Genomic DNA, 27,095 nt, shown 5'->3' with positions numbered 1-27,095 from the left:
GAATTCAAACCCTCTTTCCATTTAGATGTACATGAAAGATGACATGCAACCCATTGTTGAGGGGATGGCCCTGCACACATGGAGGGACTGCCCACTCATCTGGAAGCAGTTGCTGAAAATTTTTTCCTCCCTTTCCTCTCTCCCCAGCCTCTTTACTTTTTTCTTTTGACCTTGCTCGGTGATCTTTAGAGGCTAAAATTACTGTGGAAGAAAGAACCAGAATAGCATACATTCTCTGAAGCCAGTCCCTTCTGAGGTTGGCCTGTGGACAGCAAGGTCCCAATATGTGGCCTCCTGTCTTCTATTCAAGGCAGGCCTATCTATTGAGGGAACGATTCCAGTTTACCCAGGGGGAAACCTTGGGCAAGTTATTTACCATCTGTAAGTCTTCTGACCTGTTAAATGGGTAAAATAAATCCTTAATTCATAGGATTATGGGGAATATTAAATGAGAATTTCCTAGCACAGTGCTTGTGTAGGTAATCAATACATAGCAGCTATTGTTTTTTTGTTGTTGTTTGTTTTCTTACCCCCAAGCTGAGGAGCTTACAAATAAATATGGATTTTTGTGTTCCCCAATCCTCCAAAAGAGAATGTCCTTGGGTGAAACTAAGTCATCAGTAGTTTTTTGCTCACTCTCTAGATGATTTTGATGCAGTTAGTGTTCAGGTTGGCATTAGGGAACCTTTGCTTTAGTGTGTGTTACAGGCACATGGAAATGATTTTTAATCAGCCAGTGCTCCCTTCCATGCACTAGGGATGTAGAAAGCTCTTGACATTAACTGAAGCAGTTTTCTTTGCAGGGCCAATACTCAGATGAGAGGCACAGGTACAGCTACATTGGTTGCTAAAATATTGCAACACTTCTACAGCTACCCCAAACCCTCAGAGTACCCTGCACCCAACTCCACCCCTTACCTAGGGGTCCCCAAATTCAGCTACTAAAGAGTTAATCCTTGGCCCTGCAGTGACTTCCCAGACCTGGTTCCAGTGCTTCAGGAGGTGTCCGTCTTGTGGGGATCTGAGTCTGTTCCATACTGGTTGTTGAGTGACTCGGGAATCACTCCTGGCTCCATGGGATTTAAAACACTGGGGTTCAGTTTCCAATTATGGCAACACAACTCCGATGAAACTACCCTCATGTCACCAATGCCATCTTAACTTTTTTCTTAGTCTTTAGGCTCTTCAAACCTTTGACTCCTCTTCCTTCTTAAAACTATTCACTCATTTTCTAGGACTTTTCCATAATTTCCATGATTTTTGCCCCTCTTTCTTTTGGTGATTCTTCTACCCTTTTCTCTATCCTTGATTCTCAACTATGTCTGAGAATTCTTTCACCACTAAGTGATGGTTTTGTCGTCTCCACAGTTTTCAAATTTCATTTCGGCATCTGGTTTTATTACTAACTGCCCAAAGACTATCTTGTTGCCTTCTTATTTACCAGTATATGACTCGCTTTCAGAACCTAGTACAAATTCCTAGCTTGATTCTGAAGACTGATTATCATTCTGCAGCACCTTCCTTTCATTTCCAACTCCTCAGCAGCTAAACATGATCTATATTATTTGAACAATTCTGTATTCTACTCTTCCTTGATACATACATGCTCTGTATTCATTCTGTTTTTCTTTAAACTTACATTTATTAAATATTATATCCTGGGCACATGCTGAGTGCTCTTGATTTTGTATGTATTATTACTTCTAACTGGAAAGAATTTCATCTTCTCTGTGATAATATTATTTTTATTCATCTCCAAACCCCACGTTAGGCTCCTGTGCCTTCTGGAGATTTCTTGACTCTGCTATGGCAATCTTACCCATTCCTGACTTCTCTATATATAGACTTATAGAACATTACATATTTTGGCATTACCTTTCACGCTATCACTTGTGCATTATATTTTTTCTGTTATAGGTAACAGAAAACTTACTCTCATATTTGGTATTCTGGAGAGTGGATGGTTCAAATGTAGCTATATATAGCTGTTCAAATGATGTTATAAGGGCCCAATCATTCAGATAGGTTCTCAATACATGATATCAAAGAAGGCCACATCCAGTCATGCGGTTATTTTCTTTTTTTTTTTTTTTTCATTTTCCTTACTCAGAAAATAAGAGAGAGATCTTTTCTCTTCTGGATTAATGTTAGTCCCCTAAAAGAACTCTGATTGGCCTTCCTAGAGTTAAAAGTTTACCCCTGAATCAATCATTGTGTTCAGAAGACCCATGGTACCTGTCTCTGGGCAGGGCCACACAATTTAAAACTCTATTAAAACCATGGGGATGTTGCGAAGATGCAGTTCCCAAAAGGAAAGGAAGCTGGGCAGACCAAAAAAGTAATAGATATGTGCGATAGCTGGAAACAAGAGGGACGCTAACATTTATTGAGCACTACTGTGTTTTAGCTGTTATTCTGGAAACTTCCATGTAGCCACTCATTTAATTCTTGTAGTAAACTTAGGTTATAGGATTAGCAAGGTTAGGAACATGCTCAGAAAGTTTAACAGGATGAAATAAAAATGGAAGCTGTCTTCTAATTGTGTAAGTAACAACTGGGGAATTAGTAGGGACTTACTACATTGTTTTTGGCTTATGATAATAATGACAACTTTTCACTCTCTTAGGGTAGGCTCTGTGATAGGCACTTTGTATGCATTATACCTCACTTGTAATTTTCTTAACATACTCAGGAGCATAGTCTTATTGTAAAAGCCTGAACTAGGATTTGCATCCAGGTTTGTGACTCTGTAAAGGTCAGATGTTTTATCTTCATGTGCGGTCTGTCTGGATTGCTTTAGATTTAGCTCTTTTTCTTAGAGCTGAGTCCATTAACAACAAGAACAAATTAATATATGGAGATCATAACTTCAAAGATCACACAGTGTCAAGCAAGAACCACTAGAGACACATCTGCTCATGAGTCCTTAGTAATATGCACAGAGACAGGATGACAGGAAGGATGTGTTCCAAGGGCATGGGTTTCATGAAGAATGAGTCAGAAGCAGGCAAATAAGACCAGGAAAAGAAACATCAAAGCACCCTAGTTGCTTTTCATTTGATCTAGTCCAACCTTTTCTGTGCTTGTACATTTTGCCATAAAGAATTAGATACCATCTAATTCTCATGTCATTTTCTAATCTAGGTCATCACCTTTTATAGTTTGACAAGGCCCAAGAAGGCGAGTTTTTGATTTTTTTGGTATTCGTTCTTTTTACTAATATGTCTTAGGCCTAAGTCAACTTCTTTCTGGAGTGTCTAACTTGGGCTCATATAACCACGGTCATCCCACACAGTAAATCCTTCCCAAGGCAGGGCCTTACTCAGGTAGCCTAAGATCCAGGGCTGCTCAGTTGTGTTTGCAGCTATGACTAGATGATTTTTTAAAGTTAAGCTGTTAAGAGCCTCTGTGGTATCCAGTAATAACAGTTTCAAATTTTATTCTAAATAAAGTGTAATATAATTATGTAGGTATGTTTCCTGAACATTAGATCACATCTTTTAAAAACCATATTGGCCCTAAGTTTGTTGATCAATGTCCGTAGACCAATATGTGATCACAGTGAATTCAATGCTCTGTAAAAACTGCTTATGTCTTCTTTCTTGGCCTGATATTAAAATGAAACCAGTAATTCTCACGGTATTTAAAAGGAAAGCACATTGTGACACTCAGCAATAATATAATTGTTACTTTTTGTGACTAAATGATATTGCTTCTTTTTGATGTTCCACCCACTCACCATTTCAGTATTCACAGTTCCTGGAGAGGGATTGAAATCTGTTTCTTGCTGTTTAAGGGGAACATACTGTTTGAAAACACAAAAAGAGTACTAATGGCATCCTGACTAGCAAAGATACTCCAGAAAATTTACTCCCAGGGTTGCTGTACACTTAATGTTAAGTTGGATGGCTCTTGAAACTAGATTCATGTTTTTCTAAATGTATTTGGAAAATAGAGTTACCCTAGTGTCTTCTGCATTGGTCAGTCTTGGCCCTTGTGTCTTCTGGACATGTACAGTCATTTAGAACACCCGAATCACCCGAGGATCTTGTGAAAATATGGATTTGGATTCAATAGTTCTGAGTTGGGGCCTGAGATTTTGCAAGTGGAAAAAGCTCCCAGGTGATGTCAGTGCCGCTGATCTGTGACCACACTTTGAGTAGCATGGATCCAGGCTGTCCTTCATGTTAGAGAGGGAAGGATGCCCATGGATCTTCTTGAGATCTACCTGGTATCTTACTCACCTGGCAAAGTGACTGGTTCCCAATAGGTGCCCTATGTATTTGTTGAATTAATGAATGAATGAGAGAACTCCTTGTCTAAGTTTACTATTAATCTATAGCACACATGTTCTAGAGAAATCTAGAGATAGATTTAAAAAAAGAGAGAGAAAAGGAAGAAATAAACTTATTTCAATCTTCCCATCCCACTTTCATCCTCATTTCTATAACTATAGCCGTCATGGGCTAGTGCTAGTATTTAAGGCTGGCTTAGACATTAGTGCGGTGGGCCTAGTGGGTAAATGGCTTCTGGGGTTCAATTCCAGTGTTTTATTTATTAGTTGCCCATCAAATACCTATTTTGCATTTTTTGAGATGGTAGATGTAAAATAGTCTTGGGTATGAATCTTTAATTAGAAGCTATGATCTGCAATTTATGCATCAAATTTTTATAAGTATTATTTTATGAATGTGTAGAAAGAAATGATTGAAAAGAGACACTCAATTGAGATCTTTTTTCCTAACTGAAGCAAACATTGTTTAGATGTTTATTTTTTCCCTGAAAATTTTTTTCTACATCTTTACAATCCATAACCAAAATATAATATAAAGACAAAACAATTTCATGGTTGCCCTATCTCGAGACTGTTTGAAAACTATTGCCTGAGACGTGAGGTGCTAAGTTCCAGGAGTATGGGGGTCCATGTCTGTTCTTTCACTGATGTTGTCTTAAGTGCTGGGCTTAGAACAGGAGCTCAGTAAACCACTTTTGAGTGACAGAAGCTGGCAGGCTGATCTAGATATTTAGCGCCCCCCCCCCTTCATTTTAAATTGGGGATGATTGTGGCAAGTTTTCCCTTGAAGAATCCAAATTGTTGTTTTGACTCTTCAATTTAGTAATATTACCCAGAGCTTAATGTGATCATTACAAGCCTAAATTTTTTTTCAGGAATTGACTTCTAGAGGCAGTAATACTGTGATAAATAAAATTAAATAGAATATTTTGCTTCAGGACTTTCCAGAGCCATTTATGTTAATGCGCATTGAAAATTCCTAACAAGCATTTCTCAAACATACTTGACCCTGCAATCCCCTTTTCATGGAGCATTTGGGTTCTGTGAACTTTGGGAAAAGCTACTCTACATTATATTTCACTTTCCCCGTCTCTAAGGAAGGCCCACGATTATCTGCTTCCAGAGCTTGTTTATTTGTGAAATATAATCAAGATATGTGTTTGAAAATCACTACATATATTGTTTTAAAATATCAGTCATAAATAACTTGTAAAAATGTTCAGATGAAGAAAGCTCTTTGGCGATTAGGGCGTAAAATGTTGCTTTACTTTCTGAAACTCCACTTTTCTGGAAGTTACAACATATGTCTTCATATATGTATTTTTTTTCTCTATTCCAGATTAGCGCGTCGAGTTTCTGAGCCATGTGCATTTAGCATCTCAACATCCGTATGTCACATTCAGCCACATCAGGACTTGATATGGACTTCCATAGTACTCCTTACATAGATTAGGTTTTAGTCATGTATCTTAGTGTTAGCGATTTTTAAAAAAGAAAATGATAAAATTCCTTCCCTCTAAATTCTTTGGACTGATGCAGTTGAAAAGCGGTAGACATGCCAGCCATTTTACTTGCTTTTTATTTTCATGCTTATATTCCCTCTGTCCTTCTCTGGTTTGGCGTTTTGAATATCTTCTTGGGCACAACCCAAAACCATCTGATATATCTGTATTTTTTGTGTCAGTTTTCCTTTGAATCCTAATGATATTCTCCTACCTACTTTTCCCTGTGCTCATGATGTGAGATATGAGCTCTTTTGCCCTTGAAACTGACTTGTTATATAAGAACAGAAATATTGGCTGGGCACAATGGTTCACACTTTTAATCCCAACACTTTGGGAGGCTGAGGTGGGTGGATCACTTGAGGTCAGGAGTTCGAGAGTAGCCTGGCCAACATGGTGAAACCCCGTCACTACTAAAAATACAAGAATTAGTTGTACTTGGTGGCGCAGGCTGGTAATCCCAGCTACTCGGGAGGCTGAGGCATGAAAATTGCTTGAACCTATGTTTGTGAGCTTGTCTGACTTAGCAAAGTACTATAGACTGGGTGACTTCAATAATGGAGATTTGTTTTTCTCACAGTTCTGGAGGCTAGAAGGCCGAGATTAGGGTGCCAGCATGATAAGGTTCTGGTGAGGGCTCTCTTCCTGGCTTATAGATAGCTGCCTTCTCCCCATGTCCTTTCTTGGTAGAGAGAGCGAGAGTGAGCAGCTTCCTGGTGTCTCTTCTTATAAGGGCTCTAATCCCATTCTGAGGGCCCTACTCTCCTAGCCTCATCTAATCCTAATTACCCACCAAAGGCCCCATCTCCAAATACCATCACATTGAGGGTTAGAGCTTCAACATATATATTTCTGGGGAACTCAACATTCAGTCCATAACACTTTTCAGAATTTAAACTGGTAGTATACAATATTTCCAGAAATGGCATCTAAATAGAAAAATACTGGCAGAATATACATGAAAACATTAATGGTGGTTATTTCTAGACAGTAGGATTAGAGGTTTTCTCCATTTTCTATGAATTCAAAGTATATTGCTTTTATAACTGAAAAAATACAATAGGTATTATTTTTAAAGGAAAATGAAATACTACAGAATGTTCCATTTCCTAATAATCTTGGAATTTTCAAAATCTTTTTATTTCATCTTCTTGAAGTTTTTCTGAGAATTAATAAAAGTATCTACAGAACTTAGAGCACTCAGTTCTTGGTACATAATAGAGTTGCATAAATTTACTGCTCCTTCTTTTCCTCCTTTTAACATGATGACAATGTTAATGATAATAACAATGATAATTACTATATTGCCATAGGAGATATACCACTGGGCATAGATTATAGGAAAATAAAGTAGACAATAGCCACAAAATCAGGACAGACACATTTGTTGCAAGGTTTTTAAAAATGAGTTACTTATAAATAGAATAGCCTATTCATTGTCTTTACTTTTGGAGTTCTTAGTCTTTTTGATTCTGAGAAAATGAATTGGTTAAAAAAGTTGATAGATTGTTCTGTATTAGCATTCAGTTATACATTTAATATGAGCTCCTTAACTCTGTGCAGTAAAATGGCAGGCAGATGGGACACTGAGAAAACTTGAAGTCAGTTTTCGATGTGTCAAACTTTCATTTCAAAGACCGATTGAAGCCTAATACTTACTGTTGTGGAAAAATTTTTCGTCATTTTTTTTGTTTTGTTTTGGTTACCCTATAAGAGCTCTCTCTTCTCTACTTTCTAATGCATTGTTTCTAATGCTCTACCTTGTGTATAGAGTCTGTCATTGGTAATTTTTTCCCAATTAATTCCACATCTGAGTGTAATATTTCTAGTTGTTGGCTCCATAAATCAATAGGTTGAACTGCCCTGCAAGGTAGTCATGTTTTTTGTTACGTAGGGACCTGACTGCTCGCCAAATAAATTATGACATTGTGATGTATTATTTCCAATCACTATAAATTTTCAATATTTAGTGTATCAGTCATACCAAGTCAAGATTCAGTTATTTAGTTTCACTTACGTCTGTATTTTAGATGAGAATCCTTTTTCCCATTAGTAGATTTGAATTTCTTTCTCTCTCAGAGTCAAATTCCAAACATGCCTTATAAAACCAGCCATAAAATATACACATAAACTGTTTTTGTGTTTATAAGTAGATTCAAAAATATACACAGGTAAACTATATCCCAGATTAAAATCTGTCCACTTAAATGGTGTTCTGTTTTGTTTTTTAACACTTAGATTACTTTTATCACTGTTGCTTTGGTAATTTGATTCCCAGATATTAGATAAACATATCTAGATAATTCTCTGTATTGTATTGACACATGGTCTTGATTGGGAGCTTAAACTATCATCTCACAAATGACCCTCAGCTGTGAAAAAAAATAAGTTGTCCTAAATTCAGGGCTGTCTATACCATGGTTAATATGTGACAGCACTACCAAAATTACTTTCTTAAATTCTGTTTTGATGATCTTAAAAATAATTTTTATTCTTTATTTTTCTTTTTCTTTTCTTCTTTACCAACAGGACACAAAAATCGCTTCATTGGAACGAAACATAAGGGATCTTGAGGATGAGATCCAGATGTTAAAAGCCAATGGTGTGCTGAACACTGAGGACCGCGAAGAAGAGATCAAACAAATTGAGGTTTACAAAAGTCACTCCAAGTTTATGAAGACCAAGGTACGGTCCAGGGTTATAAACTTTTATGTTCTTAATGTGACTAGAAAGTTACAGTTTACATACATACTTTTTCCAAATACTCCATATAATATGCTTTATGTGATATTATTTAATATATGGACAACAAAGTAGAATGCGGAAGATTTTTAGTTCAGACATATAGATTCCAAAAAACAATCAGGGAAAACCTTTGATGGAATTTTCCTTACTGAGAGGTTCAGGCTTTAATTAGGAGTTCCTTTGGTATTCCTCTTCCTTGGGAATTAACATATTTATAGTCCACTCTCTTCCAAATTTCCACCATCATGTAAGTTTGCTATTTTTTTTGAAGTTGCTATCGTTGTCAAATTTCTTGCCTCTCCTAGAAGGTGATTGTCTCAAAATATTTGTGATTACAAGCCAGTTTAACTCATTTAAATGTTATTAGGTTGGGAGGCTGAGGCAGGCAGATCAGCTGAGGTCAGGAGTTCGAGACCGGCCTGGCTAACGTGGTGAAACCCTGTCTCTACAAAAAAGCACAAAAATTAGCCAGGCATGGTGACATGCACCTGTAATCCCAGCTACTCAGGAGGCTGAGGCAGGAGAATCACTTGAACCTGGGAGGTAGAGGTTGCAGTGAGCCAAGATGGTACCACTGCACTCCAGCCTGGGTGACAGAGCAAGACTACATCTCAAAAAAAAAAAGTTATTAAGCTATTTTGGTTTTAGCATAGTGTTTAAGACATAAATAGTTTTGAGTCCCAATGCTGCTCTTTAGTTAAATTATTCAACTTCCCTAAGCCTCAGTTTCTTTATCCGTGAAATAGGGATAAGAAAAATACCTACGTCATTGGGTTGGTCTGATGATTCCAGGAGATTATTCATTTAAAGCCCTTAGTCCCTTGTCTGATTAAGTATCCATTGAATGGCAGGCATTGTTGTTGACAGTGGTATTCATGTTATTATTGTTATCTATTGCTAGGAATCTTTATAAAATATTCTAGAGTAACCTGCTCTATTAGTTTATATTGTTATTGTCAGTTTTAAAGATTTTGGATTGTATTTTTTCAAAAATAAATTTGTGGCTTTAAATGGACCAAGCACCTGAATATTTATTATTTTTACATATGCATAATTATTAAATTTACGAATAGCCCAAATAGGTCTTTTGAGACTGTGAGATGCTTTTATCTGTTCCTCTGTTTAAATCATTTTGCTTCTGAAAATAATAAGTACACCAATTAAAAAAATTTGTTTTCTTTTTTCTTTTTCTACCACTTGCTCTTAAATATGCCTGTTCTCTTGTTCTAGGTTTTAATTTTGTTTGTTGCTTTATGAAATGCAGCAGAGTTAGAGTAATGCAGACCTCTGTGAGAAAGCAGTGGGAGAGGAGAGAAAAATGTGTAAATGATTTTTATCAGTTGTGAAATATGTGCATACTCCTTGCTGAGTTTGCAAATTATAGGGAGGAAATTATATTTATCCAGTGTTTACTTCATCACAACGTGTGTGCGTGTGTGTGTGTGTATGCAAGCATGTATACACAAGGAAAAAACACAAAACTATTCATACTTCTGTCAACTTTCCATCTCTAACTAGATGTTGAGATTGTGCTGAAAACGTGGATCAAGGAGTGGAGATATGAGGGGACTGTCCAGTGGATTTGAATGTAACCAGGGACTGCCTCAAAGTTTAGAATAAGTTTCCCTGCGCAGTCCTTCCTCTGGTTTCTTTCTTGCAGTCCCTCCCTCTCAGAGAGTTAAGCCGAGGTTCGGCAAGCACAGTACTAGGGTGACCTGCAGACAGTGCCCAAATCATTCTGAAAATGAAGACCAGAGGCACAGATATGAGTGAACTCAAGAAGTTTGGGGGAAATTATTGTTTTGGCTTAAACTTTTCCCTCGACTCTGTTATTCCACAATGGGAGATTGTTCAAGCCACTTCTACAGCTGAAAATGTCATGAAATTTGTAAACTCTGCCCCTCATCATGGACTCTGTCCAGGTGAATAAAACATTTATATGATCTTCAGCAAGTCATGACCTTTATTAGCCCACGTTTGTCTGAGAGACCATCAATCCTTGAGTTAGATTTAACTTTTAATGGCTAGTTACTTTTAATGGTTCCAGAAGTGGTCAGGTCAGAAGAATGTTTGAGGAAAGTAGTGGAGTGAGGTGGAAAGAGTGCAGGCTGAAGATGAAAGCAGACTCCAGCAAGTCTCCAGCCTGCCTTTGCCAGCTGTATAGGGAGTGACTTGAGGAGTGACCAAAGTCACTTGACCACACATTCTTCTATAAAATAGGGGCGACAGCACCAACCTTACAGGATGGTTCAGATGGACTAAATAAGATTAAAATGCAATAGTGTAGTTAAAGTACCTGGCTCAAAAATCTAGCTTATAATGATAAACATTATTATTGAAGAGGTATAACCAAATAATAATCATAACAATAAGTGCTATATTTAACTTGACTAATGAGAAAAATGGATTTCTAAGAAATACAAATAAGATGAATTCTTATGTCATGCAGACACCTCTTTTATTGTTAAAAATTAGCTAAAAAGTACTAGTAAGGGTCAGTTTTTAATATTTTCTCCATTGAAAGAATGTTCTTATTGGATTGAACTATAACATTTGTTGCTAATGTTTCCTATCATTAATTACTTACGTTTCTTAATTCCCCTACTTGGTTTTTTTTGTTCGTTTGTTTTGAGGCAGGGTCTCACTCTGTCACCCAGGCTGGGGTGCAGTGGTGCGATCTCGGCTCACTGCAGCCTCTACCTCCCAGGTTCAACCAATTCTCCCACCCAGCCTCCTGAGTAGCTGGGATTACAGGTGCACACCACCATGCCAGCTATTTTTTGTATTTTTTTGGTAGAGATGGGGTTTCACCATGTTGGTCAGGCTGGTCTCAAACTCCTGATCTCAAGTGATCTGCCTGCCTCAGCCTCCCAAAGTGCTGGGATTACAGATGTGAGCCACCACACCCAGCCCAATTCTACTTTGAGTGATGAGTGTGATTCCTCATTTAAGCCTGGGAATACTGCTTGCATTACTATTAAAATGAATAAATCATGTAGATTGGAGGGAAAGAAAATATTTTAAATAGGCACATGGAAGGGTGTGCACTTCCATTTTGATCCAGAGCAGGTAGTTGGAATTGGTAGGGTCTCTTGAAAGTTCTTTGATTAAATTAAGTGTCAGTGAATGCCTGAATTGCTTTTACAAACATGACATCATAGAAAAACCATGATATAACATTTTTGGAAAGGTAGAAGATGGGTTGCAAAACTCAGCTTGTGCAAAGGCAGGAATACAAAACATAGTCAGCCAGGGTAGAAATCCTGGCATCTTGCAAGTCCTTTGGCACATGAACATTGTCTCTGAGAACTGAGCCTCTGGGAGATCTCAGATGTGTAACTCTCGTCTGTTGGAAACTCCAATTCCTACCCCAACACTGAAGGATTAGAGGAATCAAACTGTGAGAGCTGAATCTTGGAGGCCATGGAAAGCATGAATTACTTTCAGGAGCTCCATTAAACCTCGGAGAATGGAACATACCAAATACATAATTGTTTTTCTGGTAGGGAAAGAATAATGGCATTTCCTTTCTGTATAAGGCTTTGTTCCTAGTCTAGCACATTTTTCATCTACTCATTCCAGTATTTCTATATTAGCTGCTCCCTCTGTTTCCAGTGTTTGCCAAAGATGCCGATCTGCTGTCTTAGATCTCCTCCTTTATTCTGAATTTGTAACACATTTTCTTATAAACCTCTGATAGATTACAAACCTCCTAACCCAAACTTCATGATAGTAAGCATATCACTTTCTAGACATAAGGGCCATATCTGCAGTGAAAAAGAAGCTGTTTTCCTTGGCAGAGTGTTTTTTTCAGGGTGTAGTTTGTGTCACAGACGTAAGTGGGGGAAGAATTTTCAGACGGGATGAAGTGTGCCTGATGTCCACATGGACTTCATATAAAGCATGTGATGTAATTCCGATTGGCTTTTCTTCTGGCTGTCACAGAGACAGACCTTCCCTGGCCTCAGTTCTCATGTATGTTCGATTGCATCACTTTCCATTTTTATGGAATTTATGGCTGTAAAAGAAGCAAAAGGGATATTTTTATGGGAGAATATGATTTTTTTTACCCTGTAACTATGTTCCCCTTAGAAAGGCTCTTTTCTGTTATTGTCTACATAAATATTTATTTAAAATTTACCTTATGGCAGCAATGCCTGAAAGCTATTTAGAGCCACTGCCTATTTAATATTTATAGACTGAAATAGTTTTATCATTATCAATCTATTTTTATTGACTAAAGGAGGTGTATGTAGACCCTGCCATGCCCTTCCTCCTGACTAAACCCTATTGTCTATATCCAGTTGATTTCCTTTTCATTTCTCTCTCAATACACCAAACCCGACACTGGCTTTCTACTGTGGTATTTGTAGAAGTTAGCACGAATCGGTTTTTTCACTATAAACATCATCTTTGCTTAGGTGTGTAGAGTTGAAAGTTTTTGAGTGTCAATTTCAGATGAATCAGTTTCATATGTGGAATCAACTATAAACTGTGCTGTCAGCTACAGCTGGATATAATTTGGGGCCATACCCCCCTGAGAAGAGTGTTGATCATAACAGATTTTAGTATCTTTTATCATTTTAGATAATCCTAATTCTGATTTTCCCTGTTTTTATTTATACTATATTCTTGTTATGTATGAGAGAGAGAGAACTTCTTACTTTTGTTCCACATAAAAATGACCACACACTCATGATTCATTAAATTATAAAGAAATAATGTGTTTCAGAAACTGCACATATCTGAGCAGTGCTCACTTGCTCACATATACCTGGGGCACATTGATAAGCAGTCATGATTCTTTCCCAGTGAATATTTAAACATACTTAGGATCCTTCTCAAGACCGTTTTTTGTTTAGCCACTACCAATCCTTTAGATTTGGCTAGCAAGATGAAGCTTGTTTGTTCCCTGACATAGTCTGACTTCTTGCAAATGGGATTTCCATTCATATCAACCTTTCTACTAAGTTATGCAACCTGAACCCTTCTGAACATGGGAGTCTCACTCCTGTTCATGCTCAGCTAATATTGTCAGTAGCTTGTTATTGTTTATGTCAGTTTTCTTGCTGAAAGCAACAAAAAATACTGAATGAAATATATTTTTAAACATATATTTTAAAATGTACTTATGAGCTCTTGAGTAAGAAAGAACCTCAAGAGTCAAAGCTAAGCCATAGCAGGAAGCCTGTGTGATAAGTAGAGCATGGGTTATGTATGTATTAGTCTGTTCTCATGCTGCTAATAAAGACATACCCATGACTGGGTAATTTATAAAGGAAAGAGGTTTAATGAACTCACAATTCCACATGGCTGGGGAGGCCTCACAATCATGGTGGAAGGCAAATGAGGAACAAAGTCATGTCTTACATGGCAGCAGGCAAGAGAGTGTATGCAGGGGAACTGCCCTTTATAAAACCATCGGATCTCATGAGATTTATTCACTATCATGAGAACAGCATGGGAAAGACTGGCCCCTCCCCCATGATTCAATTACCTCCTGCTGGGTCCCTCCCATGACATGTAGGAATTATGGGAGCTACAATTCAAGATGAGATTTGGGTGGGGACACAACCAAACCATATCAGGTTATTTATTCTTGTTGGCAATTTTCAGATAGATGAACTTGAGCTCTGGTTTTCATAGCCACAAGGACACTGAAGAAAAAAGACAGAAGTCTGGGCCTACTTAAGATGAGGGATTGTAGGAACCCTATTACCACCACCACATGAAGCTGGGATCTCAGACAGCTATACTGCTAGTGCAGAGGCAAACTAAAAATAACCTTACCATATTCCCCCTCCTCACACTTAGACTAGGGGACTCCAGGGAAGATTTTCTGTTTTAAAGCTTTGAGCCAAGTAAAAGATGAAAAAATTTGTTCTCAGAATCCATAACCACAGCTGGCTGTTACATGGATGTGCTGTGCAAGATGATCGGAAAACTTCAGGTAGATAATGTAGCTTAAAGCAGCTACATTCTTGGTTGGTAGTGTCCCCAGGTATTGGCAGAGGCAAATTCTCTAAAGGACCACATAAGCCTTAAAGTATTTTTTCAGATAAAGTTCCAAAAAAAAAAAACTAGTACACAGTACCAAAAAAAGGAGAAAAATCACAAAATCTGCAAGAAAACAGGCCACCATAAATGACAGCCAGTAGAAAGAATAAATAGCAGAATCAGAAAGCAAAGACTTCAAAAGTTGGAATTATAAGAAAAAGACTATGAAATATTAATAAGTGTGTTTAATATGTCTAAATAAGAGATTGAAAATATGAATAAAGAACAAGAGACTATAAGAAACCAAGCAAATTTAAAGATAACCAAATCAAGACTTATAGTCTGAAGGATTATCTTAGGAATGAAACAAGGCTGAAAATTAGTATAAACATCCAACTTAAAAAGTTAGGAAAAGAAAATAGAATAAGCCCAAAGAAAGTGGAAGGAAGGAAATATTTAAAAGCAGCAGACATGAATGAAACAGAAAATAAAAGTGTAATTGCATAATCAATATAGCCAAAATTGGTTCCTTGATAAGAATACTTAACTTGACATGTGTCTACTGAGATTCATCAGGAAAAAGAGTGGTTAAAGCTAAAATAAAACTTGAAAAAAGAGAGGTTAATAATGTAGAATATTAGAAATGAAAAGGAAGACATAATCATAAATGCTATTGATATAAGGATAAGTGGGTTTTTTAGACGTTTCCTGCAAATAAGTGTGAAAATTTAGATGAAACAAAAAATTCTTTGGGGAAAAAAATGTATCAACACTGACTCAGCTAAATAGAAACGTGAATATTCCTGCAGCCATTAAAAGTGGATTAGTAAGTAATGTTCTTTGGAAAAAGAAAATAACAGCTCTGAATGGTTTTGCTGGTGATTTCTAATGAACATTAGTGTAAAAAAAAAATTCCAATTTCACAGGAACCATTTCCAAACACATTAAAGGAAGGAACACTTCCTACTTCATTCGGAAGGCTATATTGATATTAAAACCTGACAAGGACAGCATAGGATAGGAAAATTATAAACCAGTCTCAGTCATAAACATAAATAAAAGATCCTTACAAAATATTAGCAAGCTGAATCCAGTAACATATAAAAAATATGTAATGATCGAGTGGAGTTTTTCATAGTAATGCCAGGGGAGATTAAGGTTAAAAATTTCATTAATGCAATTCATTACAATAACATATGAAAGTTGAAAAATGGCGATAAACCATGAGATATAGAAAAAAATGTTTGGTAATGTTAAAAATTCACTACTGATTAAAAAATACTTTTGGTATAGTTGTAATAATGCGAAGCCTAATAAAATGTCTATAAAAAACCAATGCAGACACAAAATGTAATGATGAAACATTGAAATTCTTCCCTTTGAGGCCTGAAACAAGACAAAGGGGCCACCATGACCACAGGCCTCCCTGTCTTTCTGCATGGCCTGTCCATATGTCTGGTATGGTCTTCCTCACACCATGGTGGTCACAGGGTGGTTGAGCTTCTAGAACATGGTGGCTGGCTTCCAGTGGGTAGAAGCAGAAGCTGCCAGTCCCCCTGTAGGCTAGGGCTATAACAGGTATACTGATTATTTTGCTGCATTTGTTGGCAGAAGGAAGTCACAGTCCAGCCCAGGTTCAAGAAGAGGGTAAATAAACTTCAGCTCTAGTTGTGAGGAGCGACATTTGTGTACAAGTAGGAAGGAATGAAGGAATGGGTAGATGATGTCTCTGCAGATCATCTACCTGCACAACGCATATCAAATTGGCAAAAGTGTAAAAGACCAGTGACATAAGTTATTAGTGAAGAGGTGGAGTGGTTGGCATACTTGCAAGGTGCTTGTGATCATGTAAATTAACAGAACTGTTTTGGAAAACATTTTTTTGTTTTTGTTTTTTGAGTGGAGCCTCCCTCTGTCACCCAGGCTGGAGGGCAGTGGCGTGATCTCGGCTCACTGCAACCTCTGCCTCTCAGGTTCAAGTGATTCTCCTGCCTCAGCCTCCCGAGTAGCTGGGAATACAGGTGCCTGCCACCACAGCTGGCTAATTTTTGTATTTTTAGTGGAGAGGGGGTTTCACCATATTGGCCAGGCTGGTCTCGAACTCCTGACCTTGTGATCTGCCTGCCTTGGCCTCCCAAAGTGCTGGGATTATAGGTGTGAGTCATACATTTTTGTTTTATCTAGTGAAATTGAAGATGAATATGCTATGTGGTTCAGCAATTTAAATCTTAGATAGACACTTGAGAATATTATTGCTATGTGAACTAGGTTATATGTATAAGAATGTTCAGAATAGCATTTTTTATAGTAGCAAAAAACCTAAGAACAGAACCGAATTTCTATCAACAGCAGAGTGGGCAGATAAATTGTGGTGAAGTCTTACAATGGAATACTCTACTTCAGTGAAAATGAATGAACTCTATGTACAACATTGTGATTTAATCTTCAGGACATAAGATTGAGTAGGAAAAAAAGCAAAGTAGGAAAAAAAATTGTAGCCCAAATAAAGTTTAAAAACATGCAAAACCAAATAGTGTATATTTATGGATGCAAAAATATATGATCAGCCTAAAAGACAAGCAAAGAAATAATAAACACAAAATTTGGGGTGGTAATTATTTCCAAATGGGGGGAGGAGATAGAAATGGGATAGGACATGGGTAATTCTAGTGATCTTTTTTGGTGAATTGAATTATGGATTTTTTGGGTCATTTTTCCTCATACCTCACGTATATTTTATGTTCTTTTTGTATCTTCTCAATATTTAATGTAAGCAAAAAGATGATCCCCAGTGCTTACTTGTTTTTTAGGATTCTTTTGTCAAATGATGCCCTTGAATGATTATTTGCACTGTGGAGTTATGCCTTGGTTTAATTACCCATGTTAGATCCCTATTGACTCTCCTCAGGACCATGGTGGTAATATACTTGGTGGTTTCACAGATGAGTAGGTTTGGCTGGGAAGGCTTCATTCCATTGTGAAATTTGGTCCACAGTGGGATGGAGGGCAGTCTGCTGACCTTTCCATTCCTATTTCCTATACTCTCAGTGACCTTTACAGATTTTCCTCCAGAACCCAAAGACTGTGTGATTCCCAAGGCCATCTTTTTTAAGCAAATTCGTGGCCTGCCTTGTTGGATTATTGATCACTGGCTGCTGAAATGGAGAGAAATCAGTAGTTGTCCAATGTAAAGTGTAGGGGCAGCAATTTCTAATTTCTTGCAATTTTGTTGTTGTTTTGCAGATTGATCAGCTGAAGCAGGAACTTTCAAAGAAAGAGTCGGAACTTCTTGCCTTACAAACAAAGCTTGAAACCCTCAGCAATCAAAATTCAGATTGCAAGCAACACATTGAAGTGCTCAAAGAGTCACTTACTGCCAAAGAACAGAGGGCTGCCATCCTTCAGACTGAGGTAAGGCACTCTCTCAGGATTCTAGACAGCAGAGACATTGAATTGATAGAAATTGCCCTACCTGAACAACTTTCCTCCAAAGACCCTTTATCCTAACCCTTGGGGCCAGATGTATTTTGAAATTCATATTTGTTGGGCTTTCAGAAAGGTGAGATGCATTGTATAGATTGTGTAACACTGCAAGTGAAGTTGTAGCAACACCCCATAAACAAACACATGCATATTTTTGCATTAAAAAAATTTCTTATACTAAGTGGGATAAATAAAGACTGTATAATTAGACTCTTGTCAGTTTGTGTCAAGTTGTGCCACCAAAGGTGTTTGGTTCACACTTGGAATTTCTTTTTTTCATACTTCGGAGCATTTTAGATTTGGTAAATCCAAGTCAAGGGCTTGGATCTAGAATGGTTTCATTTTATCAAAAATCATAAAATAACTGGAATGTCATCTGCCTTGCTTTGCTGTGCATCCTCTGTATGGGTTCCCCTTCTGGCACCCATGTTTCCAAAGGGTTCTTGTTTACTAAGGAGTATCTTCAATTTCTTTTACCCATTGAAGAAAGTTGATATTGTGTGAGTTTCTCAAAGGAAATATTGGTTTGTTATCTCTTATTCATGCTTAGAAGAACAACAAAAATATGTTACTATCCTATTTCCTTGCTTTTCCTCCTTGGATTACATCTTTGGGTCTGCTAAGAAATGCAAAACACAAGCTAGTTATTGTGTAAATAAAATAGTTATCAAATGCAGCAGGCAATAGGGAAAAATGTGGTGAATCTTGATTTTGTGTTGAGGCACTGTGCTGTGTGCATTACTTTAGAAGGCATTCTAATCAACATGCATGCTCTCTCTTGGGCTCTTTGAGCTGTGTCTTTGCATGTATATATTTTAGCATCTGTGGGGAGGTTTGGATTGGCCTTAGGAGTTAATGGGACTGTTGAGTAGATCTGTGCTTTCAGTCAAGGTGCACGACAGTGTCCAGAGGCGGAAGAAAATACTTTCTGGATTGGATAGGTCTTAGCATGAACCTGACTCAGCCCCTATACCTTTGACCATTGGCTGATAGGCAGCTACCTGAATGCTTCAATTCGAAACAATCACCTTGGTCTCAATGATGTAGATATTTCACATTTAAAAAATACCATTTTCAGGCTGGGCGCGGTGGCTCACGCCTGTAATCCCAACACTTTGGGAGGCCAAGGCGGGTGGATCACGAGGTCAGGAGATCCAGACCATCCTGGCAAACACGGTGAAACCCAGTCTCTACTAAAAAATACAGAAAATTAGCTGGGCGTGGTGGCGGGTGCCTGTAGTCCCAGCTACTCGGGAGGCTGAGATAGGAGAATGGCATGAACCCAGGAGGCAGAGCTTGCAGTGAGTGGAGATCGTGCCACTGCACTCCAGCCTGGGTGACAGAGTGAGACTTCGTCTCAAAAAAAAAAAAAAAAAAAAAAAAAAGAAATACCATTTTCAGTTGTGTATAGTTCCACTGTGAATGCAAAGGTATGGGTATTTTATTTTTTAAGGCAAACATTTAATCTATACTATAAATTGGAAGTTGGCTTCTATCTCCTTTGAGGAGGCAGCAGTGAATAGTATCTAGAATTGTGTGTTAACACTGTAGCCACATGTGGCTATTTAAACTAAAATTAATTAAAATCCAGTGAAATTCAAACTGTAGTTCTATAGTCACATTAGCCACATATCAAGTACTAACAGTTACATGTGGCTAGTGGCTGCTGTATTAGACAGCACAGCTAGAGAACATTTCTACCATCTAGTACTTGTCTCAAATAGGGGTCAACCAAAACTATGGCTTGTGGGCCAGATCTGGCCCTGAGCCTGCTTTTGTAAATAAAGTATTATTGGAACACAGCCATACCCATTCATCTACATGTTGTCTTTGGCTGCTTTTGTGCTACAACAGCAGAGTCGAGCAGTTGCAATAGATATTGTATGGCCCACAAAGCTGAAAATATTTACTGTCTGGCTTTTTACAGAAAGTTTGCCAATTTCTGGCATTGTGATTTTGTGGGAAGAGGATTGAGTGGGCATTGGAATGCCCAGCTAGTCTTCTCTCTGGCTGTGGTACCCTAAATGGAGAAAGTTTGCTGACAGCTGTTCTAGAGCATTCATTTTTCTTCACTGTATTATTCAAAAAGCAACTGCTTGTACCCATATTTTGTCAATAATACCAGGATTACCGATAAAGTTAGTGTAATTGTGTTGCTGTGTGTTGTTGGGTAGGAGAGAATTTGAGAAGCAAGGCAGTCTGCTTACCCAAACCAGCAGTCAGGTTTCTTGATGGTTTCTCTCCAGAGAAAATGAATGAGGAGCCAGGTCAGAAAGGCTTTTCTTCTCACTATCTTATACTGATGGAGGCTATATTCCTTGTCCTCTTTCCTTTCTCATTCCCCTCCCTGTATTTTACCTCTCTCAAATTAATGTAGTCCAAATTAGACCTATACATATTTCATGAAAAAGACAGTGGTGACATTATGTGGATAGCTTCCGTCCCATGTTCAATAATTAAAATGACCAAATAAAGAGTTGGTGCTTTGAAGTAGAAAAAAATTATTCTCCGTGTGCAGAGAAAGTGAGATGATTTTCTAAGTCTTCTGCTTTGAAGTTGGGAGTATGAGATTACTGATTTTATCAGCTGGAAACGGCTGAGGAATTTTCTTTTGCCTTTTTTTTCCTTTTAAGATCTCTTTGTACATGGAAACAGAGGAGAAACTTATCTAATTACGTCTGTCTCTTAGGGGGAGCAATTTAGGTTGAAATTGCTCTAATTGTTGGATTGTGGGCAGAGGATTTTTGGCAGCAGTGTAGAATACTTTAAAGTGATTTCCCCACTCTTTGGGATAGCAGAGGTAAATAAGAGTCTTTCTACCTGCTGTGTGGTGTGTTAGTGGGTGAGTATTCAGAAGATGAGATATGTTGTGTTTCATTATGCCCTACAATGAAAAATCTGAATTTAAATTCATATGAAATAATCTGTACACCAAACCTGTGAAACACAATTTACCTATACAACAAACCCACACATGTATCCGTGAACCTAAAATAAAAGGTTAAAAAAAAAAAAGATATGGTGCTCATCCTCAAAGGAGGTTACATGTGATAGCTCCTTGCAATTTGATTCCTGAGTCATTCCTGAAAGTTCTTGCCAAAACAGAAGGGGGCTCTCTTTGTAATGGGGAGAGTCCTGCTATATCTGTGCCATCAACTGGCTTTGGCTGCTCTTTTAGAATAGTATAAATGACAGACGTCATGGCTTAACGGTTCATCTCTGTAAAGAAGGTTTTGCTACCAGGGAATTTGCATTTGGGAGTTGGTAGGATGAAGGGTGGGGTGAGGTGTAGGAGGCAAGCTGTCTCGGTTTGCGGCTATGTGGCTTGGCTCTTTGGTTGGTTTGTTTGAACTTGTACAAATGCCCAGACACTCTGACATGTGTGCAATAAATCAATAGAATAATAATTACATACACAGAGAGATACACCACATAGCTCTTAACATAACATTTTACTTTTTAAAATAGCTTCAAAGGACTCTAAGGCCAAGTTTCTTATTTTGCTACTGCCCTTGATGTTTCCTTTGTACCAACTTACCCCATCCACCAACACATGAATTCCACAGCAGTAGAGAAAATAATGAATTGGTGTTCTCTAGCACCTTGATTTTTCTGGATTTCAGTGAATAATTAACAACATATCCATAAACTGGGAAGGATTAAGGCCTAACATTTATTCTGTGATCTAAAGTAAAATGTCAAACAAAACACAGCATTTAGAAGTGGGAGATGTGTGGTTATACCTCAGCCTCCCTATTCAATAACTGTGTGGCGTGGACAAGACTTGAACTTCTCTGAGCCTTCATGTCACAGTCTATGAAATGGCAGTCATTGTATCAGCCTCATACATCTATGTGAAAAGTGCTTTGATTATAGTCAAGGGTTACAGCTATAAATTATGGTATCACCATTGCTGTTATTATTATCATTACTACTATTATGTTTATCAGGGATGTTTGGGCAGGTCACACCTGAATACTCTACTTCACTTGTCATCTTCACATCTGTTCTGTGTTTCACTTTGTGGGTCTCTTTTGAATTTTTGGTATGTGCATTTATAGACCTCGGACTTCTATACTTCAATTGAGTCACTTTTTTATGTCTTAGAATGATATGGACAAATAAAGATACTATGAAAGTGACCATCTCTTTTGTTCTATCTCCAAATTAAGATTTTTATTTCTGGCCAGGTGTGGTGGCTCACACCTGTAATCCCAGCACTTTGAGAGGCCGAGGCAGGGGGATCACTTAGGGTCAGGAGTTTGAGACCAGCCTGACCAACATTGTGAAACCCTATCTCTACTAATAATACAAAAATTAGCTGGACGTGGTGGTACGGGCCTGTAGTCCCAGCTCCTCAGGAGGCTGAGGCACAAGAATCACTTGAACCTGGGAGGCAGAAGTTGCAATGAGCATGAGTTGAGATCATGCCACTGCACTCCAGCCTGGGTGACAGAGCGAGACTCCATCTAAAAACAAAAACAAAAACAAAAACAAAAACAAAAACAAAAAAAAACAAAAAAAAAGAGAGAGATTTATTTCTGATTTCTGGCAAGTATACTTTTCTCCAACTCGGCATGGTTTGCAAACTGCCAGGCAACATTTTTGCATGTGTTTTCCAAGATGTGTTATATGACAGTGGTACATAATGCTAATTTCTGTCCCAAATAAGCCAGAGAAGGATTCTATAATACTTGTCTAAGAGTAAACACTTGAGAACCCGTTCATTAACAAAGAATGCAGGGGTTTTGTGTTTATGCAGGCAAGGGCAACATAGTGGCAGCTGCAAAGCAAGGGTTCATAACTTCTAAAAAATATAATCAACACAGATGAGAATCTTATGCAATTAAACCCCCCCACCAAAAAAAAAATCCACATGGGCACATACATGCTAATATTCACATGCAGTAGTGTATATAATTTCAGGTAGTTTATAGATGCTCTAGAGCATTTCCAAGAACTTCACATTAATAATCTTTGCTCTCTGGGCTTCATGCATTTTTTCATTTAACACATACTTTTTGAATGCCTACTATGTGCCAGATATGGTTTCTGCTATCATTGAGCAAACGTTCTTTTAGACACGTGGATATATGTTAGAGAACTGATTTATGGTACCATAAACTCCCAGTGATTTCATTATCATTGATTACTAATAATTCCACACCGAATCTTGATCTTTCTTTTGTTGTTTAAAAGCAGATAAGTAAAGGAAGGAAAGAAGACACGAAGAAATAGATATTTCGCTCCCTTGAAGACTAAAATATGCAACTGTTCAAAGTGTCTATTTGTATCTCTTATAATTGAAGGCTAATATTGCTAAGGTGGTTACCCTAATAATATTGAGACTATCTTTTGATTAAAGCTGATCCTCTTTGAGGTCACACTCAAGCAACTTGGTTCTCCTTCTTGAGAAAAGAGATGATATTTATGGAGTTGCAGGCATTCTGCTAGCTTCATTATTTCGGGAGTTCCTGCATAGACTTGGAAATGCTTTAGCTGGTGGTATGTCACACAGACCCTTCCCACAATGTGTCCAAATCAGTGAGGTGTCATTTGATAATATTTGATAATATTGATAATACTGGGCATCTATGCTGTGCAAGGTGCTGGACAAGGTGGGGATCCGTAATTTCAAGAGCTGATAGTCTTAGCCTTTTAAATGTAATTTTATTACTGAGTGTCTTATGGCTGCTACACTGAGTTCCAGGAGATGCAGCTGAGTGTTTTCCATGTGATATTTTAAAACTGACTCACCACTTGTGAAGTTGGTATTGTTGCCCCTATTTTTAAGATGATGAAATAGAAGCTCAGAGGATGTATAACTTGCTCAAGGTCATACAGAGGTAAATGGCAATGTCTGGGTTCCCAGCTCCAAATGCCTTTAACTAGGAATCTAGTGATTTCCATGAGAGTCCCAGTGGACTGAGGGCTTTCTTCATGTCAGGAAGATGACTTATCTCTTTTAATCTTTGTTTTATTTTATTTTATTATTTTTTTGCAGCGGGGTCTTGCTCTGTCGCTCAGGCTGGAGTGCAGTGGCATGATCTCGGCTCACTGCAACCTCCGCCTCTCGGGTTCAAGCAATTCTCCTGCCTCAGCCTCCCAACTAACTGGGATTATAGGCATGCAACACCATACCCAGCTAATTTTTGTATTTTAGTAGAGACAGGGTTTTGCCATGTTGCCCAGGCTGGTTTCGAACTCCTGGGCTGAAGCAATTTGCCCGCCTCAGCTTCCCAAAATGCTGGGATTACAGGCGTGAGCCACCATGTCTGGCCTCATTTAATCTTAAAGGCAAAATTTGTGGCAAGTTTTATAATTCTGTCTTGACAGGTGAGTTCACGGAATTTTCAAGAATGCTTTCTAGGCATAACTCTGACATGGCTAAGAAGGGGGATAAGAATGAATAACTCTGAGGCTTAAATCCTCGTGGTAACATTATGGCTATAATAATAGTGACACTATGGCCATAATAATGAAGGTCATTGCCCAAACTCTAGGGAGGGTATTGTTTTCAGGAAGTTTAGAATCCTAGTATATTAAGAAAAGTTTATCATATAATATTTAGTTTTTATTTCCTTAAATATGTTTAAAGACGTTTATATATATACAAACATACACATACATACACATATATTCATATATGCATGCACACTATGTAAAAACAAATAAAAGAATGGATGGCTGTGTATGACTTTGTTCTCTCTGATTGTTGGATACCCAGGTGATCTTTAAATTTTCTATGATGATGCACATGTCGTACATTTATAGTAAAAAAAATTAAATGCTTTTTTTTTGAGACGGAGTCTCGCTCTGTCGCCCAGGCTGGAGTGCAGTGGCGTGATCTCAGCTCACTGCAAGCTCCGCCTCCTGGGTTCACACCATTCTCCTACCTCAGCCTCCCAAATTAAATGAATTTTTAACAGAAGCAGCAATGATAATTTCTTCAGGGAGGTTGTGTAAGGTGCTGGTGGAGGAGGAGGTGTTTTCTGAGCCCGTGGCAGCATTTTTCTGTCTCTGAGTCACAGATGACTCAGTGTGATAACACAAACTAGAGAGCAGACTTGGGCTGTCAGTTTGCAAGATGAATCATAAAAACCAAACTTTTGAGAATGAAAATGTTGTTACATGGAGAAAAGAACACATTTTACATGGCCTTGCTTCTCAGTTTATTTGCCTTGAGATGGGCCCTCTGTCCCCCAGTTCTTGGTAAAGCTACAACTCTTGGGCATTAAAGGTAACCATGACAAGGAGTTGGGAATGCTTTGTGGCCTCCAGGGACTGTGGGACTGTATGCATTCACACGGGGCTTTGCAAACTATTCCAAATACTTAAAAGAACTACTTATTCATTGGGACTGACCCATTTGGAGCAAAAGAGTTTTTTAAATGGTTGGAAATAGTATTTGCCATAGCATATAAGGTGGGATTTACAAGAAGTGATCTTTTACTTTTTTAATTGACGTGTAATAATTGTACATATTTATGGGGTACGGTGATTTTGATACATGTCAACAATGTGTAGTGATCAATTCATGGTAATTAACATATCTGTCACCACAAATGTTTATCATTTTTTTGTGTTGGGAACCTTAGAAATCCTCTCTAGCTGTTTGAAAGTATACAATAAATTATTGTTAACTGTGGTCACCTTACAGTGCTACAGAACGCTAGAATTTATTCCTCCTATCTAGCTGTAATTTTGTATCTGTTAACCAACCTTTCCCTTTCGCCCCTCACCCCTCTTCTCCTATCCTTTAGTAACCAGTTTACTTTTAAACAATAATTTCAGGTTTTTTTCACCCCTTGCCATAATTGACTGGCAAGCAGTAAAGTCCTTTTTAATCAGTTCAGCCTTCAAAGGATAATATTTAAATGTCCTTTCTGAGATAGCTTTTTGTTTAATGCCCTTCATAGTCACTGCATTCAAAATTAAGATGCTTTTTAGAAAAGTTAGTAGCATACAACAAAATCAACTTTTAAGACTGTTAAATTACCCCAGTGCCATTTAGGATGCATTTATCTCACTTTCAAGACTTGCAAGGAATGTCTTTAAAACTAATCAATTAAGGGACTTGGTAAAAGAAAAATATATATACAAAACAAAGCCCTGGTGTCATTTGTATTTTTCCTCCCTAATCCTGCTGTTGGCTTCACATTTTAAAATGTTTTTATTTGACGGGAAAGGCTTCATTTGAAATTTTTATTGATAACACTTCTAACTACAAGAAAAAGACATAAACCTGCAAAACAGTAACTATCATGGTGGCCACAATTGGGAGGTCTGCAAAATGGTTTATTACCAGTAGGAAAAAAAATGTTGGGAACCATAGTCGTTATAGGGGTCACCACCTCGTCTATGTGCATTTTATTTTTTTCCCTTTCCATTTTGAGAGTATGGATGATGGTAGTGCCAAACAACACACTTTCCCCTCCCCTAATGTCTGTAGGCTTTGTTTTGATTCTCTTTTTATTAATGATGTGAAAACTTTGGGGTCACATACAAATGAGGCAAGGTCAGGCTTTGTGAGCCTTAGAATGCGGAAAATGTCCCTGTATCTAGCAAATGAAGGAATTGTCTATAGGGGCCACATTTACCTTCTAAAGTTTTTAAGCTCTTTTGCAGATTTTAGCTACCTGGGTGAACTTTGCAGAGTGGCCTCATGCTATTGCTTTCTTAAGGCAGAACATGAAAGACCTGTGATGGAGAAATTGAAATGTGATGGAAGGGAGCATCCCAAGTTTGTCATAAAAGCTTTTTATGGTTGTTCTGTGGCAAATTCTGGACTATTAAAGGATGGTGCAGGTAGCTACAGGCATCATTTTGTTCTACAGGTCAAGAGTCTAGTACTTTTGTTGTTGTTATTGTTGTTCAGGCTTTCAGAGAACGCCTTATTTAACACCTTGTTAGGATAAAATTGCTTTTGACTTTATAAACACAGGTGTTCAGTTTGAATCTTAATGAACTGTGAAATACGTAAATGTCTAAAAGGAAATTCTATAAATTGTGAACATGGCTCTGTCAGCACACTAAATGGATTAGGAAAATTCATTGTCTGCCCGGTAACTGAA

At 37.9% G+C, this 27,095-nt stretch overlaps 1 protein-coding gene across 21 annotated transcripts in view; it reads left to right on the top strand.

Annotated features, from left to right (window-relative positions):
- Positions 1-27,095, top strand: part of ERC2 (ELKS/RAB6-interacting/CAST family member 2) — a 960,157-nt gene that overhangs the window by 311,010 nt on the left and 622,052 nt on the right. For all 21 annotated transcript variants that reach the window (NR_132749.2, XM_017006156.2, XM_047447950.1 and 18 more), the window contains 2 exons: positions 8,326-8,481; positions 17,782-17,949. Coding sequence is in view for 20 of the 21 variants with exons in the window: in XM_017006156.2 (XP_016861645.1) it covers positions 8,326-8,481; positions 17,782-17,949 (324 nt within the window). In the remaining variant the exon portion in view is untranslated. The remainder of the gene's footprint in view (positions 1-8,325; positions 8,482-17,781; positions 17,950-27,095) is intronic.

The sequence above is a fragment of the Homo sapiens genome, chromosome 3 (assembly GCF_000001405.40).
Source record: "Homo sapiens chromosome 3, GRCh38.p14 Primary Assembly".
In the NCBI taxonomy this organism is placed as follows: Eukaryota; Metazoa; Chordata; class Mammalia; order Primates; family Hominidae; genus Homo; species Homo sapiens.
This window is presented reverse-complemented; position numbering and strand designations above follow the sequence as displayed.